Consider the following 18,272-nt stretch of genomic DNA (forward strand, 5'->3'; position numbering starts at 1 on the left):
GAGAACAGCACAGAAAAGACCTGCCCAGTGATTCAATTACCTCCCCCTGGGTCTCTCTCACAACTGGTGGGAATTCAAGATGAGATTTGGGTGAGGAAATAGGCAAACCATATCAGTGGGGGAGATGTCATACACTTTAAACTATCAGGTTTCCTGACAACTCATTAACTACTAGGAGGACAGCACCAAACTATGAGGAATTTGCCCCCATGACCCAAACACCTCCCACCAGGCCCCCCTCCAATGTTGGAGAGATGACAGTTCAGCATGAGATTTGGCAGGGACAGTTACCCAAAGCACTGCAGAATCTGACTGAACCAGACTGTGTTAAGTGAGTCCCTCACACAATCAGTCAGAATGAAGTGGCTCCCGGTGCATTGAAAATAAGTCCAAATTCCTTGCAAATCCAAGGGGGAGGTGTGGCAGGTGGCTTTGTGGCAGGTAGGGACCCTGGGCCTGCAAGGAATTTGGATTTATCATCAATAAAATGGTCTTCTTTCTCTTGCTTCACCCACTGGCTCTTTGTTATGTGGACTGCATTCCTTTCTTTGCTATTTTTGTATTCTTTCTCCCCTTTTCCCCATTACTGGAAATTTCCACAGCAGAAGAGAGCCCAGCAGTGACTGAGGGGGAAGAACTAGCTGTTAGAGCTCTTCTTAGAAACTGGGTCTGGTTTGGGAAAGAGGGTGATGGTGGGGAAGGCGACAGGTGGGGCAGAGGGGAGGGAGGATGATGAGGGAGAGGCTGAATGGGTGAGTTAAGGACCTGTCCCAGGTGGCAGCTGGGCCACGGTAGAGCTGGACTCAGACACAAGCATCCCACTCTTGTTGTGTGTCCCGTTATGCACCCAGCACTGCTTAGGAGAATTGCTGTCCTTTTATTTTCACTAAGTTGAGGGTTGATTGACAGCTATTTTTGGTTCTGCTAGGAAAGGAAGCTGTCAATGAAAGCAGGAAGGTGATAGTTCCTGGGATCTGAACACAGCCACTTCTGTCTCCTGTATCCTGGGCAGGAGTGGAGTTGTGGGACCACTCGGTGTCCAGCCCTATACCCTACACAGCTGTGGGTGTTTCTGCCTCTTTTGGAATGGGCCAGTCCTGATGGTGTCAGTCTTTCAAGAAGGGTCCCGGGCTTCGGGCAAGTCAGGTCTCCGCCTTCACCAGTGACCCCAGTTCTGGCGGCTGCTGTCTCTGCACTGGGCCTTCCACCTGCTGAGAAGCACGGCTGAATCAATGTGTCTTTTCTCATCAATGATATTTAGAAGTGCGGGAAAGGCATTTAATGGATTCTGATAGATTTATTTCCTGCGTTGCTGACTCTATGTATGAGATCAGTAAAATGGGAGGACTTTGCGGTTTTTTTTCTGGGAGGTTATTTTGATTGTCTGACAAAAACGTTAAAGGAGAGAGGTGGCGTTAGTGTATTCCCTCCCCATCCCATGAGGGTTTGACCCATGAGCAGCCCCGTGCCAGGGCTGTCGTCTGCAGGTGACTTACGGCATCAGCAATGCAGGCCCCATCAGAAGGAGCCACCTCACTGCATTCCTGGTGCCCTGAGATGCCTCCAGCCACTCCTCTATTGCAGAAGGCTTTCTCCTGGGAACTTTCTTCTTGAAATGCAGATAGTTCAATGGTTCTATGGTGAGGCTGGGCCGTTTCATGACAATTTTCCCTTCACAGTGCTTTGGCTATCCCTGCAGAGTGAGGTTGAGGAGACACAGCCTCAGCCACAGCTCTGGAAGGGCAGAGCCCTTGCTCCACAGACCCGAGGCTGTGAGGATGGCCCAGGAGGGAAGGAAAGGCCCTTACCAGGGAGATGGCTGAACCAGGAAGGCAGGGGCAACAGCTCATTGCATGGAAAAGGCCACCCCTCTGGGCATGGGCACCACCACCCTCTGGGCCTGGCTGTTTCTACCTGGGCCTCTGTGCCAGCATCACAAGCATGCAGGGAGGGATGCACCTACACAGCAGCCAGTGCCCTCAGGAGGCAATTGTGGAAGGTCCAGATTGCAGGTGACCTCAGCCTGCAGCCGACTTCAGAACCCATGTCTGCTGAAGTTGGTTCCACCTCAGCCCCACAGCCTGGGAGGAGAACCCTGCCCAGAGGCAGGGCCCAGGGCTTCTCTCGGCACCAGGAGGCACTGCCCTGCCAGGGAGAGCACAGAACTCAGAGTGCAAGTATTTCCTTCATAGAAGGCTCCAATCCACTGTTCATACTGGCATTTCGAAATCAGTGTTCAGAATCCATGCATTCTTTAAAAAAAATCCTAAACCTTTCAAATGCAAAATTTATAAACAGGATAGAAATAAAAAATGTACATTTGTAAAAGTAGAAATATGAAGTATGTATTCTTTATAACTACCTATGAATAGATATTTCTTAAATGTGCTAAATGCTACACAAAAAAGGACAATAAATTATTAATGACAAATGAAAATGAAATATTGTTATGTATTTCTTAACAGTGTGATCTTAAAAATCACAGTGCATCTACAATGATATTTTTGTAACAGAAGCATATGTTCGGTCAAGTTTTCACATGTGCAGAGAAAGCTCTTCCAATATTCTCAAATCAGGCATTTATTTATCTTCATCTTTTTTTTTTTCTTTTTTGAGACAGAGTCTTGCTCTGTCACCCAGGCTGGAGTGCAGTGGCGCCGTCTCAGCTCACTGCGGCCTCTGCCTCCCAGGTTCAAGCAATTCTCCTGCCTCAGCCTCCCAAGTAGCTGGCATTACAGGTGCCCCCCACCCTGCCTGGCTAATTTTGTATTTTTAGTAGAGATGGGGCTTCACCATGTATAGATAGAGATTCTAATGTAGGATGGTGGTCATGCTGACTTTCTACTGTTCCAAAAGTATCTGGAACCATGAAATAATTATTCCTATAACAGAAGCTTTGCTTTGTCCATTATCCTCGTCTTCCTCCTCTTGAAGATTTTGAAGGTATAGAAGCTTGCTTTCTAAAAATATTTTTCTTGGTTTGATTTAAACATTTTAAAGCAGTGTTTAACATCATGGTATTACTTCACGAAACAATCAGTAGTTCAGGATTCGGGGTGATATCCTATGTATTTAGCACCTAGTCCCACATGGGCAGTGGCCAGTCAGAATGAAGGCCAGCTCACTGCCCTGGCTACCAAATACCGAGGGTCACTTAAGCACCAAAGGCCTGGCTGAAACCTGCCACTGCAGGTGGTATCACGTGCAGGGGGTATCACACTGGCAAGACACCCAGCAGTATTGAAATGCTAAAACCAGGGCCAGCATCCTCAGGATCAAATTTCCTTCACCCTGACAACTGTCAACACTTCATGGCGACCGTTTTCCTGGAAGCCTGCCTGTGCCCCTGTGACTCCCGCGGATTTGCTCAGGGGTCTGAGGAGCCTGCCCCGCTCCCTGCTCCTGTACCCCTCGGTTTGTGCCTGCATTCTGACTTTCATCACTTCACTCCGCAGCTATGCTTTTGCTGTCCATTTCTTCCTCCTCTCTTCTGCTAAGCTGTTATGCACTGAAGGTCGACAGAGTAGCGAGATTTTTATTTGAATCCTAAGTAGCTGACATAATACCTGGCACATTGAAAAATGCTCTGAAAATGTTGGTATTATGTTCCAAAAGTTCCAGGAGATTCCAGGAAGACATTTTTCAGAGATTGTGGAATAATAGGAAAGTGAAAAATGGCATTTTTACTATGTATTAAAATTTATACTTTATTGCTGTTTAAACCACCATAACTAAGATAAGGCATATATAATCCATGATATCCTGCCTTCAAAAGTAAAACAAATACTTCCATTGCTTTTGGGGGCTGGGGCTGCTTATTCTTACCCTTGCTCATTGCCTTCAGAGAACACTCGAAGAATTATTTCCATAGCTGTGGAGCTTCCAGGTTGTCAAGTAGTTCATGACTTCCAAAAGTTACATTAACGTAACAGTGGCCAAAAATCACATTTACCTATATGTGTGATTTTTTTTAATCTCTGGCATTTTTACCTTAAGCAGATGGAACTACACTTAGCTATAAAATATCAAGTGTCACTTAGACGCCAAAATGCTCAACGCACACCCCTGGGTGGCAAAAAACCCTTGCCGGAGTGATGTGGTCACGTCCCTCAGGTGAGCAGACGCCTCACCAGTGGTGGGGCCATTGGCAGCCTCTTCTCTGGAGACATCTGGCAGTTCCGGATGTAATCCCTGAAGGTTAATGTGGCAGGGCAGGTGGCTGAAGCCATCTTCTTCTTTCCTGCCCCGACTAGGGGTGAAGGGGAGAACACAGCCACTGAAGGGGACGAGGCCCTTTGATGTCTGCACCTACCAGGACTACGTTTTTCTGGAAGCTGACTCCCAGCTTAAACTGACTTTAGCAAAGAGTAGAATTTCGTATTTTCTTCTCTTTCATCCTCTTTTTTTTTTTTTTTTTTTTTTTTACAGAGTCTCACTCTGTCACCCAGGCTGGCGTCCAGTGGTGCGATCACGGCTCACTGCAGTCTCAACATCCCAGGTCCCAGCGATCCTCCCACCTTAGCCTTCAGAGCTGGGGCTACAGGTGTGCACCAACAGGTCTGGCTAATTCTGTTTACTTTTTGTAGAGACGGGATCTCACTATGTTGCCCAGGTTGGTCTTGAACGTCTGAACTCAAGGGTTCCTCCCACCTCAGCCTCCAGGATCATAGGTGTGAGCCACTGTGCCTGGCCAAGAGTGGAACTTATTATTCCCATAACTGAAGTCTGGATAGATTGGGATCCGACAGCTCTGCTGATGTCTTCGGGACTGGGTTTTATTCGCACGCATCTCTGGAGTGTGCTTTGCTGTCTTCTTGAGCAGTTCTCTCTCTGTCAGAAGCTCTGAGATGAGGGACACCGTGGCTTGCCTATGCCTTGTCCGAGTTGTGATGGTTACGGTCATTTAAGCAGCTGTGGAGCTCTGGCCTCTTGGATCCTCTGCTCCAAACACGGCAGAAGTAGCCCATGGTTTCCTGGCCACTCCAGGACCAGTCCCAGGGCAAACGCCGGTGGAATCTACTCGAGTCACGTGACCATTTCTGAGCCCAGCACTGTGACCAGGGGAATAGAATATATTCATTGGCCAGGTTTATCCTCCCCTCTCAAATTTTCCAAACCTACCCTGAAGAAAATCAGAATGACTTAATGAAAAGATGGGGAAACTGATAGATACCAGGTAAGCAAAAGCAGCACGTGTCTCATATACATGTTGGGAAGCGTCGTTAGCTGGGGTAGGGGTGTTCTGTATGCCCTTCTTCATGGATCAGTGTTAGCGCTGGTTCCCCTTAGCTTCACATAGTTACTTGCTGTATTATTGTAGGGAAGCATTAGTTTAGATTCATTTTCAAATATGAAGAATCATCTTTTAGACAATGTGATCTTTCCTTGTCTGTTTTCAGTGCTATTCAACATAATGGAATATTTCAAATAAAACCAACTAGAGTAAGTTCATTTCTCTTTCATTTTCCATTTCTCTGTATTCCTTCTCCCATTTTTTTTAATAGAGATTGGCTCTCACTCTTTCTCCCAGGCTGGAGTGCAGAAGTACAATCATAGCTCACTTCAGCCTCGAAGTGGCCTCAAGTGATCCTCCCACCTCAGCCTCCCAAGTAGTTGGGACCACAAGTGTGCACCACCACACTAGCTAATTTCTTTTCTTTTTTTTTCTTTTCTTTTCTTTTTTTTTTCTTTTTGTTTTAAGAGACGGGGTCTCACTTTGTTGCCCAGGCTGGTCTCAGACCCCTAGGCTCAAGCGATCCTCCTGACACAGCATCCCAAAGTTCTGGGATCACAGGCATGAGCCACCATGCCCAGCCCTTCCTTTTTTTGTTTGTTTGCTTCTTATTTTATCCTCTATTCCATCCTCTTTTATTAATCACCAAGTCTCTGAGTAATGCTGGTAATATTACTAGCCAGACTTGTTTTTTATTGGAACAAGACAGAGAATCAATGGTTGGATGGATGGGTGGATGGATGGATAGACAAACAGATGGATGGATGAACAGACAGATGGACAGATGGATGGACAGATGGATGGCCAGATGAGTGGATGGATGGATGGATGGATGGATGGATGGATGGACAGGTGGACAGATGGTTGGATGCACAGACAAATGGGCAGATGAATAAACACATGGATGGATGGACATATGGACAGATAGATGAACAGATAGATGAACAGACAGATGCATGGACAGATGCATGGACAGATGGATGAACAGACGGACAACTGTATGTATGTATGTATGTGTATATGTATGTATGTATGGATGGATGGATGGATGTTGAGCCATAGATTGAGATAAATGAATCCCTGTTTCAGCAGGTGAGGCGGTGTTTTGGTCCATGAGTTAATGTGCCTAACACGCCTGAATCAGTTATTCAGTCAGCCTGAAGGGTGTGGCTTGTTGCTACCATAGAGAGAGTCACAGTGGAGGGTCTGACTGGCTCATAGTTAGAAAAGGATTCTAATAAGGCCTCCTTCTGAGGCCACCTTCGAACACTTGAAGCCTGTTTTCTGAACCATATTGAGTACTTTCTTTGGTGAGAGAGAAAATTTCTTTTAAGAGCAAAGTATGATTTTATAAGCCTCTATGTATATATGCTCTTTGCCATTGTGCAATGTGACGTTTGGCAGCTGAGGCACGCTTCAGGGCAAAGGGTCTTCCATGATTCATTTTTAATGCAGGAATATAAGCTGCACCACAAACTGAATTATAATAACTTTTACTGCCTTCTTTTCCAACACAGCTTCACCAGGACAGCCTTAACCCCTAAAAGGAAACAGCAAAAGGCTAAGGCAGGAATTTCTAATCGTGACCCTGAGACCAGACTGGAGCTGCTTACAGAACACCCTCTGTGTCAGAGAATCAGAGACGTTTGCTTGCGATTGTTCCTAGGTGCCAAGCTCAGAGGTGCCAAGCTCACAGGTGCCCTAGTGCACACCATGTCAAGCCCAAAAGGAGGAAGACCCTGGTCGGAGGCCTCCCGGCGGACCACGTGTCCCACTTGAGCCAGTTCCAGGAGGGAGGAAGCTCCTAAGAGAAGCTGTTTTTCAGGCACCTTCAAATGACTGATTTTTTTCCGATGCTTTTCGTAAATAATAGATCAAAGCCTCTGTTTCTGCCAGAAGCCTCCCACCCCTGTGAATGCTGAAAGAGCAGATCCACCAAACTCCCCTGGGGCTCTGAAATGATCACTCTGCAGGCTTCGTCCCTCTGCAGAAGAGCTGCTTCCTCTCTCATCAGAAAAGCAATAGTGGTGTGTCGGGGAGGCCCCCGTGCAGTGTGCAGATGGGGGAGCCATTGGCAAGGGCCACCCTTACCAGGGCCTTCTGAGAGCTCTGTGCATGGCCCTTCTCCCACCTGGGCAAGGCGGTTTGCTGCTCTGGGCTTCCTGTTTCTATTTCTGCTCTCCAAGTTTCAAGTTCTTTATTTTTTCCCAGGACTCTGGGCTTTCCTTGTCTTAAGAGGAAAGAAAGGGCGAGGCTCTTTGAATATTTTCTGCATATTATACTCCACCCTGGTTTCCAGACTTCAGATGAAAAAAAGAGCTATTGGAAAGGGGAAGCCCTCTGGCCTTGTTTTCAACAGGCCGGCTTCACTTCCCCTGCAACTTGTTAGTGAATCCTTGTTATAAAGCAAACCATTCAGGGGCATGTGTTTCCCATAGGAATAGGATTACAATTGCAGTTGGCTCACCTGACTATGCTTTTTCCATTAAAAAATCATAGCCAGGACTAATAATAGGACAATAGAAAAAGTTACAAAAATCATAAATCTTCAGGAGGATTTAAAATAATAGGGCATGGTCCAAGTCCTGTAAAAATAGTTATTTGTGAACTGTGTGTATTCCTTATAAATCAAGTGCCCAAAAAGTAAATCTATTAAATTAGAAACTTAACCTAATGAGCTGGTGTTACTAGAAAGGGATCCCAATTCACATGCCAAGAGAGGATTCTTGGACCACACAAGAAAGAATTTGGGGTGAGTTCATAGAGTAAAGTGAAGGCAAGTTTATTAATAAAGTAAAGGAATAAATGATGGCTGCTCCACAGGCAGAGCAGTGGAACAAATGATGGCTGCTCCACGGGCAGAGCAGTGGAATAACCGATGGCTGCTCCACAGACAGAGCGGTGGAATGGGCTGCTCCGCTGAGTATACTTATAGTTACGTCTTGATTTTGTGCTCAACAAGGGGTGGATTTTTCTTTTCTTTTCTTTTCTTTTTTTGAGACGGAGTCTCATTCTTGTCACCCAGGCTGGAGTTCAATGGTGTAGTCTTGGGTCGCTGCAACCTCTGCCTCCTGGGTTCAAGCAATTCTCCTGCCTCAGCCTCCTGAGTAGCTGAGACTGCAGATGTCTGCCACCACACCTAGCTAATTTTTGTATTTTTAGCAGAGATGGGGTTTCACCATGTTGGCCAGGCTGGTCTTGAACTCCTGACCTCAGGTGATCCTCCCACCTCAGCCTCCCAAAGTGCTGGGATTATCGGCGTGAGCCACTGAGCCCAGCCAAGGGTTGGATTTTTCATGAGTTCTCCAGGAAAGGGACAGGGATTTCCCTGAACTGAGGGTTCCTCCCCTTTTCAGACCACATTGGGTAATTCTGGACATTGCGATGATATCTGTAAACTTTGATGGTGCTGGTGGGAGTGACGGCATTTTCAGCATGCTAATGCTTTATAATTAGCACGTAAGAAGCAGTGTGGATGACTAGAGGTTACTTTCATTGTTGTCTTGGTTTTGGTTGGTTTGGGGCCAACTTCTCTATCGCATTCTGTTTTCTCAGCAGGGTCTTTGTGACCTGTATCTTGAGCTGACCTCCTATCTCATCCTGTGACTAAGAATGCCTGACCTCCTTGGAATGCAGCCCAGCAGGTCTTAGCCCCATTTCAACCAGCCCCTTTTCAAGATGGAGTCACTCTGGTTCAAATGCCTCTGACACTAGCAAGAACAAATTTCAATGAAGCATTGAGTCAATGGCAGTTTATCATTCCTTGTAACATTCAAGTAGATAATTTTGGAAGTGGATGCTTTAGTCTACTCTGTTTACTCAAAACATACTTCCTGGGAAGTTCAAACTGATATACTTTTGTCTCAATAAATTCTCTTGTGGGGCAAATCCACCTGAAATGATTGCCTTGTCCTTTGAGTTCCAATTTTGAAAACTTCTCAAAACATATCATTGCTGTATGGAGATACTTGAATTCCTCAACGCAGGCCCCATTTTGATCTTTTCTTCGTTCCATCGAGGAAATCTTAAAGACACATAAGCTCAGTGTGGCACTCCAGCTTCATTTATCACCGAGAGCTCAGCGTGGCTGTGGCTGTCAACTAAAGGATACTTAAAGCCTTAGAAGTCAGTCTCGACTCAAGGATGCAACTTCCTTCCTATAACTCCAGGTGAGTTCCTTTCTTTCAGTATGAAATATTATTATTCCCATTTTCCAAATGAGAACAGTGAGGTTCAGAGGAGTTCAGTACTCTTCTCCAAGCCACCCAGCTTAAAGCAATGGAGTCACATCTAAGCCCAAGCAGATCTAGCCCCAGGATGTACCCACTGACAAGCCCGCACCTGCCTGCCTAGCCAGGAATGAACCCGGAAGGTTTTGGGGAAGGAGGACACCAGGAGGGAGAGCCAGGGAGTGCACAGACTGGGGTCCCTTTCCTCCTGGGGGTTGCCTTCATTTCTAGTTGGCTTTCAGTTTGTCAAGGAGGTACTGCCTTCCAGAGTATGTTGTCAATGAAGAGTTGACCTCTGTAAAATATTGGAAGAAATTTATTCTGAGCCAAATATGAGGGACCATGGCCCATGACACAGCCCTCAGGAAGTCCTGAGAATATTTGCCCAAGATGGTTGGGTGTAGCTTGGTTTTATGCAATTTAGAGAGGTATGAGACATCAATCAAATACATTTAAGAAATACATTGGTTTGGTCCAAAAATGCAGGACAAGTCAAAGCAGGGGCTTCCAGGCTACAGGTGAATTTAAGCATTTTCTGGTTGACAATTGGTTGAGTTTGTCTAAAGACTCGGGATTGATAGAAGGGCAACGTTCTGGTTAAGATAAAGATTGTGGAGACCAAAGTTCTTTTGACGTCTTATAGTGGCTGTCCTTAGAGACAATAGATGACAAATGTTTCCTATTCAGATCTTAGTTAATCTCTTTAGAATTAGGAGGATCTGGAAGAAAAAGATCTGGCTATGTTAAGAGATTCTTTACAGATGAAAATTTTCTCCCACAAAGAACAGCTTTGCAGGGCCATTTCAAAATATGGCAAAGAAACATGTTTTGGGGTAAAATACTTTGATTTTCTTCTTTTTCTCATAATATTATGCCAGAGTCAGTTTGGAAAGTAAGTTGCAATATATAGGGTTAAATAAAACCCATCTAATGAGAATTTATGATTCATAGGGCACGACTCCCCAGACCCCTTAGATAGGAATTTGAGCAAGATAAAAAATCAGTTTAGTCCTCAATATCAGGGCATTCATCTGTTAAGTGTTAAGAAATTTTTGAATGTAAAAAAAAAAGTGTGAATTTTAAGGGCTTTCAGAAACAAAATGTCAAGGTTTATTGGCTCTGGCCAATGAGCAGAGGATGAAGTGTATGACTGCTTCTACTGCATATAATTATGAAAGGAAATATCTCTCATATTTAGATTTCTTGGAAGGTAGTTGCTGAGTATGGTATAGAGACTTATTCCAATTATGGAGATCCTCTAAGGGATGCCAAGGATTGGGAGTTAGCCTGAGAAGGAATCATGCGGTCTAATTGCCTGTTGGGTTCTTTCTGTGCACTGCACAGACAAAGTCCATTCACCGAGACCACAGCATTGCAGTAAAGACAGCTTTTAATTGGCCAGGCATGGTGGCTCACACCTGTAATCCCAGCACTTTGGGAGACCGAAGTGGGCAGATCACCTCAGGTCAGGAGTTCTACCAGCCTGACCAACAGGGAGAAACCCCGTCTCTACTAAAAATACAAAAATTAGCCAGGCACGGTGGCGTGCACCTGTAATCCCAGCTACTCGGGAGGTGGAAGTGGGAGAATCACTTGAACCTGGGAGGCGGAGGTTGCAGTGAGCCAAGATCATGCTAGATCATGCCACTGCACTCCAGCCTGGATGACAGAGAGAGACTCTGTCTCAAAAATAAATAAATAAAATTATTTTCTAAGCTGTTCATTGACTTTAGAATAATAAAATACAGACCCTAACAATAAAAAGTTAAAAGTTTAATTTCAGAGCTATTATACTGTATATAATACAAAGAAAACAAATACATATTGTATAAATGTAAATAAACGATTTAATTAGTTATATGATAGGCCACAAAAACCATGTAACTTTTAAAACACAGAAATTGTATAAGCCCCATTACTGAGCACAATGAAATAAAATGTAATTTTATAGAAAATAGTAAGAGGCCGGGCGTGGTGGCTCACACCTGTAATATCAGCACTTTGGGAGGCCAAGGTGGGTGGGTCACCTAGGGTCAGAAGTTCGAGACCAGCCTGGCCAACGTGGTGAAATCCTGTCTCTAGCAAAAACACAAAAATTAGCCGAGCAGTAGTGGTGCATGCCTGTAATCCCAGCTACTTTGGAGGCTGACACAGGAAAATCTTGAGCCTGGGAGGCGGAGGTTATGTTGAGCCAAGATTGCACCACTGCACTCCAGCCTAGGTCAAAGAGTGAGACTGAAAAAAAAAATTAAAAATTAAAAGAAAGCGTGTGATTGACATGAGGCTGGGCATGTGGGACAGCTGGAGTTCCCATCACTCATGTCAATCTTCCCATAGGCTTGGGGCTAGGGATTTTCAAGGATAGTTTGTTGGGCAGGGGGCTACGGAATGGGTGCTGCTGGCTGGTTGGGGCTGCCGGCTGGTTGGGGCTGCCATCACAGGGGTGTGGAAAATGGTCCTCCTGAGCTGCATCTGTCTCTGGATGAGGCCCCAGGACCAGTTGAGTCATGAGTCATGAGTCCAAGTGGAGTTGGCTCGTAGGCAGAAATGCAAAAGTCTGAAAAGTAATCTCAAAAGGCCAACCTTAGGTTCTACAAAAATGGTATTATTTACAGAAGTCATTGGGGAAGTTACAAATCTCGTGACCTCTAGAACAATGGCTGGTGATCATCAAACTACGCCTGCATCTTAGCAGAGTTCAGGCCCCACTCATAATCCTGCAGACCCATATGAATTTGCCACTGCTAACAGGCTAGCCTGTGTAACTTCCCACCTCTCTCCCAGCCCTGCTCTGTGTTTTATGGACCAGGTCTCTTGGCACCAGGTGCTTATTGAAAATGCAGACTCCAGAACCCACTCCAGGACTCCCGAATCACAGAATTTTCACAAGCTCCCTAGGTGAGTACTGTGTACACGGAAGTCTGAGAAGCACCGTCCTAAGTTGGGTGGTCTTGCACTGGCATGAGAAACAGAGTCCTGTTTTCTTACAACCACCCCCTGCCAACCCCAGTACAGGAGTGTGCAGCCCCACGGAGGCCCCACGAGCTGTCCTCTCCTCATGCCTATAACCTCTTTTCACAGCTCCTTTTCATCCGCCCATTCCCATCCAGCATGGGAGTGGAGCCAGGCACAGAAGACCTCTGCTGCTTCCTCTCCTGTGCCCCGTAGACGAGCTCCTTGTGCCTGCTTAGGGCCCACACTGTCCTCTTCGCTGGGCTTCCTGCCTCGCTCAACCTGAACATTTTAGTCATCCTCAAGAGGTGACTTGACCCTCACTCTGCTCTAGTTCTCATCCGCCCATTAGACCTGAGGCAGGCACGTTTTCTTCTACTCTTTATACCCCGAGTTCTTTGCTAACTGAGCACACAGGACATGGATGCTGGTTGAGGAAGGAGTGGGATGTCATCACAGACCCCGGACAGGAGGGATATTTCCACCAGGGTGCAGTATTTCACACTGATTCATGGATATGAGTGGGTTGCTTTATAAATTCCTCCATTAGCTCAACTATTTCCAAAGGAAAAAGTGAAAACAGATCTGGAAGATGTTATAACATCGTCTAATAACGGGGGTGGGAAAATGGCATGGAAATTTAGATATTAACATGGATTTGTATTCTTTTCTCCTATAAACTCTAAGACTGCATTTGAGACAATAAGCCATTTCTGTGTTAAGGATTGTAAAACACTACATGGCATCTCATTGGCTTTCATCATGTCTGTACTTAAAACAAAACTATTGGCCGGGCACGGTGGCTCATGTCTGTAATCCCAGCACTTTGGGAAGCTGAGGCGGGTGGATCCCTTGAGGTCAGGAGTTCAAGACCAGCCTGGCCAACATGGTGAAACCTCATCTCTACCAAAACTATAAAAATTAGCTAGGCGTGGTGGTGGGCACCTGTAATTCCAGCTACTCAGGATGCCGAGGCAGGAGAATTGCTTGAACCCAGGAGGTGGAGTTTGCAGTGAGCCCAGATCACGCCACTGCACTCCAGCCTGGGTGACAAGAGTGAGACTCCATCCCCCCGACCAAAAAAAGAAAAAAAAAACTATTTATCAAAACTACCTCGATGGAACTTTTCATGTAATTCAAAACTTGAACATCAGATGTTCCCTGCCTCTTTAATAAGGAGTGGAATCATTGCCGAGAAGATGCAAACAGGATCAGAAACAAGCGGAATCTGTCAGGATGCTCAGCAGCAGGTGTGGGAGGCATGAGGGGCACTGCGCCTGTATCTTCACTCCTCACCCGGCTTCAGAGTTGACGTCAAGCTCTGAAAAAGGGAGCTCCATCTGTGATATCCACCAAGTCCAACCATCAGCAAAGCCTAAATGTGTGCCACTGCTCCTCCTCCTTGTTTTCAGACCTCCTCATTTCCTAACAGCTCCTCCTCTCCTGCCTCTCCTCCAGCCACAGTGGACTCCTCGCTGGCCATGGGCATGCCGGGGGCTCCAGCTCTCTGGGCTGCTTGTCCCTCAGTGATCTGGAAGTCTGATCTCCTCACTGTTGTGGATTGAATTGTGTCTCAGTAAAGATGGGTTAAAGTCCTGGCTCCCCTGCCTGTGAATGAGAGCTTATTTAGAAATAGAGTCTTTGCAGATGTCATCAAATTGAGATGAGGCCATTAGGGTAGGACCTAACCCAAGAGGATCGGTGTCCCTCAGAAGAGGAGAAGACAGAGACACACAGGGAAGATGCTGCATGGAGACAGGTCGGAGGCTGGAGAAGCAGCTGTGAGCCAGGGAGCACTGGGGCGTCAGAAGCTAGAGGAGGCACCTTGAGATGGGATTTCTGGCCTCCAGGGCTGTGAAAGAACAATTTCTGTCGTTTGAAGCCACTTAGCTTGTGCTGCTTGGTTACAGCGGCCATAGGAAACAAATTCACTCGCCTATCTCAAGTGTGGTGGAGACATTCCCTTCTCAGTGTGGTCCATTCTAATCACTCTATTGAAAATGGCAACATCCCCCAAACACCTTCTGATCCTCCCTGACCTGCTGACTTTTCCCCTTGGTGCGAGTCCGCTTACGGATGTGCACATCCCGCCTCCTGAGGTTCGGTGCTGTCTTGCTGCTCAGGTGCAGCTCTGTGAGGTGGGGATGTTCGCTTTGTTCGCTGGTGCGTTCTAAGGGCCTAGAACAGGGCCTGCCACATAGGAGGCACCTGGCACATAGTTTTTGGATGAAAAAATGGATATTTTCCCCCAAGGTATCAGTGTATAAGTTAAGAGCACCTGCCCAACTTAAGTTAATAAGATTCCTGTACAGGAAGATATATTTATACAGGATCATGTTCTCAAATGCATTCACGAACCAGCCTCAGTGAACGGCATCTTCCCTGAAAAAGCATTGATTGCGTTCCTTTTCTTTCCATTCAGGCCGCTCACTATGCTCCAGGCTCCTTCTTCCCCTGCTGCAGTCCTGGTCATCCGCTGTCCTCCTCCTTAGCTGCTCCTCCCTGCCCACACGGGTGCTCCTGCTTTCCTTCTCAGTTCTCCCTTCTCCTCCCGCCGCAGGTGCCGATTCCTCTGCCCCTGATGAATGCTCCCTTTTTTCAGCGGCGTCTATTCTTACTCCATCAGCGTTTTACATGACGTCATCACCTCCTGTGGTTTAACAGTCTCTTGTGTGCTATGGATTCTCAGGTCTGTCCCGTTCACAGGAGCCAAACCTCTGCATTCAGCTGCACACGCTGGCTAATGCCTCACAAGCTCCTGACAACATGATCAAATCTCAGCTCATATTCCTCCATCCCTGTCCTGCATACATGTGGCATGTGCGTGTGAGCATGTGGACATATGCACGTGTGTGTGTGACTAACTGGCCAGTTAATGAAACCAGAGGTTGTGCCCTTGACTCTTCCCTGCCTCTCAGCCCTCCACCCCAGCTAATGAGCAAGCTGTGTCAGTTTTACCCCACATCCCCCCGGCAGGTGCGGCTCTGGGAGGTCGAGAGCTGGAAAAGGTGTCGCTCTCACCATTACAGGAAGGAAAAAGTGAGGAAACTGTAAATTAATGACTTCTCATCAGAGAACTGAGATTTCAGGCAAACATCTAACTATACCTTGAAAGCTCTTTGTTCTTGTTCATCTGTGGTATTCCTATGCACTCTTCAAAACCCTGCTGGAAAGTCCTCCCCAAACACCCCAGAGTCAATGATTCATTCTTAGTGCCCCTATGCTCCTTTCACTTTTGCTCTGCAGAGCCTCTTCTGCATATTTCATTTTGCCAACAGGCCTGTTTCCATGGACTTCAGCATCAGGCAGGCCTGGTTCCCAGTATTCTGCTTCGAGGATTCACCCCTCCAAGCTTCAGTTTCCTTAGATGTGAGGTGGGGGAAAAAGTCACGGCCACATGACGTTATTTTGAGGATTTCACGAGGCAGTGAAAGTGGGGTGCACAGCACTGGGCCTGGTGCAGAAACAATACCCAGTGCCATGTCTCTCTCCCCAACAGGGTCGTGGTTCCTGAGGAGGAGAACTGCAGTTTCAGCATTGCCTCCACATTCAGCATGGGGTGCTCAGAACCTTCCAATATGCGAGGCAGGCTAGTCAATTAGGGGAGAAAGCTTATCTCTTTAAAGCAAGTTAAGTGAATGTTTGTTTCTTTAAAAAAAAAATCAAACTGCCAAACTATTTTCTGAGTGGCTGTACCATTCTACGCTTCCACCAGCAATGAAGAGTAATCCAATTTCGCCACATTCCCACCAACATTTAAAACTGTGGGGATTCTGATAGGTTTGTAGTGATGTCTCATTACGGTTTTTGGTTTTCTGGGTTTTGGTTTTGGTTTTTGAGACAAGGTCTTGCTCTGTCTCCTAGGCTGGAGTGCAGGGGTACAATCTCAGCACGCGATAGCCTCCACCGCCCGAGCTCAAGTGATCCTGCCAACACAGTCTCCTGAGTAGCTGGGACTATAGATACATGCCATTATGCTGGGCTAATTTTCTTTTCATTTACTTTTTTAAAGACAAGTTCTCAGTATGTTGCCCAGGCTGGTCTTGAACTCCTGGACTAAAGTGATTCTCCCACCTTGGCCTCCCAAACTGCTGGGATTACAGGCATGAGCCACTGTGCTCAGCCTTCATTATAGTTTTAATTTGCTCTTTCTTAATATTTAATGATGTTGAATATCTTTTCATGTGCTTACTTTCCATTTCTATCTTCTTTAGTGAAATGTTCGTTCTTTAGTGAAATGTTTTACCCATTTTTTAATTGGATTTTTTTGGTTTGTTTTTATTTACTATTGAATTTTTAGCCCTCTTTATATATTCTAGATAAAAAGTGTTTGTTGGATATGAGGTTTGCCAGGATTTCCTCCCAGTCTGTAGCTTGTCTTTTCATCCTCTTCACAGGGCCTTTTCCAGAACAAAACTTTTTAATTTTGATAAAGCCAATTTATCAATTTGTCTTTTTATGAATTGTGCTTTTGGTTTCTAGTGTAAAAACTCAGCCTAGCCTTAGGTTCTATAAATTTTATCTTATATTTTATTCTAAAAGTTTTATAGTTTTACACTTAGCATTTACATCTGTGATCCACTTTCAGTTTTCTTTTGTATGAGGCATAAGGTTTGCGTTGAGGGTCACTGTTTTCCCTATAGCTGTCCACTTGTTCCAGCACCACTGTTCAAAAGGCCATCATCCACCCATTGAATTGCTTTTGCAACTTTGTCAAAAATCAACTGGTGGCCAAGTGCGGTGGCTCATGCCTGTAATACCAGAACTTTGGGAGGCCAAGGCAAGTGGATTGCTTGAGCTCAGGAGTTTGAGACCAGCCTGACCAACATGATAAAACCCCGTCTGTACTAAAAATTCAAAAATTAGCCAGGTGTGGTGGCACATGCCTGTAATCCCAGATTCTTGGCAGGCTGAGGCACGAGATTTGCTTGAACCTGAGAGACAGAGGTAGCAGTGAGCCGAGATCAAGCCATTGCACTCCAGCCTGGGTGACAGAGCAAGACTCTGTCTCAAAAAAAAAAAAAAAAAAAATCAGCTGGCCATGTTGGTATGGGTACATTTTTGGGCTCTTTATTTCATTACGTTGATCTAACCCTTCTTACTAACACAAGATTTTGATTGCCATGCCTATATAATAAGCTTCAACATCAGGTAGATTCCTGCTATTTAATTTCTTTTTTAAAAAAAAATTGTTTCAGCTATTCTAAGTTCTTTGTCATTTCCTACAAATTTTACCATAAGCTTGTTCATGCTTATAAAAAAAACCTTGCTGAAATTTTGCTAGATCACATTGGAAACCAACATCTTTACTATATTGACTCTTTGGGCCCATGAATATGGTAAGTCTTTCCATTTATTTAGGTCTTCTTTGACATTCTTTCATCAACATTTCATAATTTCTGCATATAAATACTATAGATGTTTTGTTAGATTTTGCCTAAGTATACATTTCCTTTGGAGCCATTGTAAATCATACTATGTTTTTAACTTTTATTTCCACATATACAAACGTAATTTGTTTTTATATGTTGATCTTATGTCTATGACCTTGCTCTCAGAAGTTTTTTGTAGATTTCTTGGGATTTTCTACTTCTAGAATTATTTTATTTGTAAATAGAGATTGATTTCTTTCTTTCTTTTTCATGTGTATGTCTTTTTTTCTTGCCGAATTGACTTCGCTATGACTCCCAGTGCTACCTTAAATAACACGGTAAGGAAGGCCGTCATTGCCTTTTTCCTGGTCTTAAGGCGATGTGTTCAGATCTTCACCTTTAGGCATGGTGTTAGCAGTAGGTTCCATGTAATATTTTATGCACTGTATGAGTTTCTTATTGCTGTGTAACAAATCACCACAAAGG

At 45.3% G+C, this 18,272-nt stretch overlaps 1 long non-coding RNA gene across 1 annotated transcript, besides 3 other annotated features; it reads left to right on the forward strand.

Moving 5' to 3' along the window:
• Positions 1,839-2,352: an enhancer, noted in NCBI's record as "H3K4me1 hESC enhancer chr6:167886934-167887447 (GRCh37/hg19 assembly coordinates)". NCBI's record gives its function as "activates a minimal SCP1, AML or CMV promoter by ChIP-STARR-seq in naive H9 embryonic stem cells {active_cell/tissue: H9 hESC(naive)}" and the evidence as "EXISTENCE:reporter gene assay evidence [ECO:0000049][PMID:30033119]".
• Positions 6,461-7,074: an enhancer, noted in NCBI's record as "H3K4me1 hESC enhancer chr6:167891559-167892172 (GRCh37/hg19 assembly coordinates)". NCBI's record gives its function as "activates a minimal SCP1, AML or CMV promoter by ChIP-STARR-seq in primed H9 embryonic stem cells {active_cell/tissue: H9 hESC(primed)}" and the evidence as "EXISTENCE:reporter gene assay evidence [ECO:0000049][PMID:30033119]".
• Positions 8,632-8,832: a silencer, noted in NCBI's record as "peak6318 fragment used in MPRA reporter construct". NCBI's record gives its function as "represses an SCP1 promoter by STARR-seq MPRAs in K562 erythroleukemia cells {active_cell/tissue: K562}" and the evidence as "EXISTENCE:reporter gene assay evidence [ECO:0000049][PMID:32103011]".
• LOC105378128 (uncharacterized) lies at positions 8,806-16,375 on the forward strand. The gene is made up of 3 exons (XR_943267.2): positions 8,806-9,402; positions 12,247-12,360; positions 15,914-16,375. It is a non-coding gene; the product is annotated as an uncharacterized LOC105378128 (long non-coding RNA).
• The last annotated feature ends 1,897 nt before the right edge of the window (positions 16,376-18,272 follow it).

This window comes from Homo sapiens, chromosome 6 (assembly GCF_000001405.40).
Source record: "Homo sapiens chromosome 6, GRCh38.p14 Primary Assembly".
In the NCBI taxonomy this organism is placed as follows: Eukaryota; Metazoa; Chordata; class Mammalia; order Primates; family Hominidae; genus Homo; species Homo sapiens.